This window comes from Homo sapiens, chromosome 18, assembly GCF_000001405.40.
Source record: "Homo sapiens chromosome 18, GRCh38.p14 Primary Assembly".
In the NCBI taxonomy this organism is placed as follows: Eukaryota; Metazoa; Chordata; class Mammalia; order Primates; family Hominidae; genus Homo; species Homo sapiens.
In genome coordinates this window covers 41390401-41392285 of record NC_000018.10, presented here as the reverse complement: position 1 = coordinate 41392285, position 1885 = coordinate 41390401, and the positions used below count along the sequence as shown (strand labels likewise).

At 39.3% G+C, this 1885-nt stretch overlaps 1 annotated feature.

The window, feature by feature from the left end:
- Window positions 516-565: a silencer, noted in NCBI's record as "silent region_9410". NCBI's record gives its function as "represses an Ori minimal core promoter by ATAC-STARR-seq in GM12878 lymphoblastoid cells {active_cell/tissue: GM12878}" and the evidence as "EXISTENCE:reporter gene assay evidence [ECO:0000049][PMID:35858748]".

Genomic DNA, 1885 nt, shown 5'->3' with positions numbered 1-1885 from the left:
CCTCTGTTATATTCTCATTCATTAATCTGGTACTATAGTTTATAAACAACAAGTGACAGGGAAAATGACACTGCTGAGGAAGTCTGAAACAGAGATGCTGGACTTCAGGTCTATCAGAGCTTTACAGAAGTATGCAATCTAGGCAGAAAAGCATTCAAGAAATAACTATTCAATGAGTCCTGCATTTTCCTCTGGTCAAAAAAGGAAGCTCTCCCCTTTTCCGTCCTTGCCCTCCTCCTTTTTTCTTTCTCTATCCTCCGTCTCCCTTCTTTTATCTTCCTTGTTATCCTCCTTTTCTTTCTCCATGCTCCCCTTTCTTCTTCATGTCCCTCTTTCTAATGAAGAAAATAATTTTATTGTCTGGTTTCACTAAACAAAAGGTTGAGTACGGAGTGCATTTTTCTGGCTGTTGCCTTTTCTTTCATATCCTTTAGCAAAAAAGGACCTTTCCCTTTAGAAGCCCAAAGGTGGAGCTGTTGCAAAAGGAGAAAGCCAGACAGGCCAGCCGCGCCCGGCGGGGCCACCAATGCGCACACAAGCCACACACACAAACGCAAACACGTACATGCTGGGTCTGCACCGAGGAGCTGCAAATCCTGGAGGCTTTGCTTCCAAAATATAAACATTTCCCCCTTTTTTTTCCCAAAGAGAAATAAAAATCCTGATTACAGCAGATGCATTACTGCCAAATTGTGCAAAAAAGAAAAAGTATTAAGTGTCCGCTTAACCCCCTTTAATTGTTAATTCCATGTACTTTACTAGATTCTTGTATTATCAAAATAACTGCAGGGAGAAAGGATTCAAATTTATTTAGGTTCATTAATACCACCATTTATCAGTGTAATGTCCTATAGATAATGATTGGAGGATCATTCTATTTTTTCTGTATAGTGTGCTGAAATATCTATCGGGATGGTTACATTTCAGTGGGAAAGACATAAAACGAATGCGCATTTCAGCAGCTGGAGAGAAGGCCTCTGCTTTTACATTTGGTGACATCTCACAACATTTTCCATAGAAGTGGCATTTATCTTTTTGGGTGTTAATATGATATTTTGCTTTCAACATCCTGGGAAAAAGCAGCAAATTTTGAAAACCCATTTTATGGAGAGAAACACACAGAAATTGCTGTGTTGTTCCTCCCAGAGATAAGACAAATTATCTCTATCGTGTTTCATAGATGCTTAGCTTGTGGCTTTGTCTAGCAGTTTTGGCTGCTCTGCTTGAAAAACAGAAAACCCCCATTCAATCATTCGCCTCTTCCTTTGCCTCTATCCCTAGAGCAGAGGCCTTCAGCTTGATATCTCAAAAGCTGGTGAAGCAAACATTTTAGCCAATTTCAAAGTGTCCTCATTTACTCTGAAAATATGATTTTACCCTCATGACTTTAACGTTTACTTTGAACTTGGAGTTGCTGGAATAAACAGGGACAAAGTAACCTGAGATGTTTTACGCCACTGAGAGAAAAAGGTATTGATCTTTTTTGCCTCTGGAAAAAAAAAGGTTTCAATAATTTCCAGATATACTGGAGATTGCATTGCTATCTTTAACTAAAACATGCCACAAGACAGAAACCAATTATTTATTCTCTTTAACCATAGGTCCACCTTTGTCTTAATGTATTCTGATGTCCCATTTGCAAATTGGCAAGTTTGTTCTCAGTAACACTGTAGGCGTACGTGCGTGTGTGCATGCTAACATGCTTGAATGCAGGCACGGTCGTGAATTTATTCTTGGCTTTGCTACTGGTGACATTTAAATATGGGTTTATGCCAGGTAGTTAAAAATATATAAAAGGCTGAGTTATACCAACCCAGCCTATCATGTGTGTCCCCAAGATGACTGAGAAGGGAGTTTCCAAAGTGGTTTTATTTATGCAGCTTGG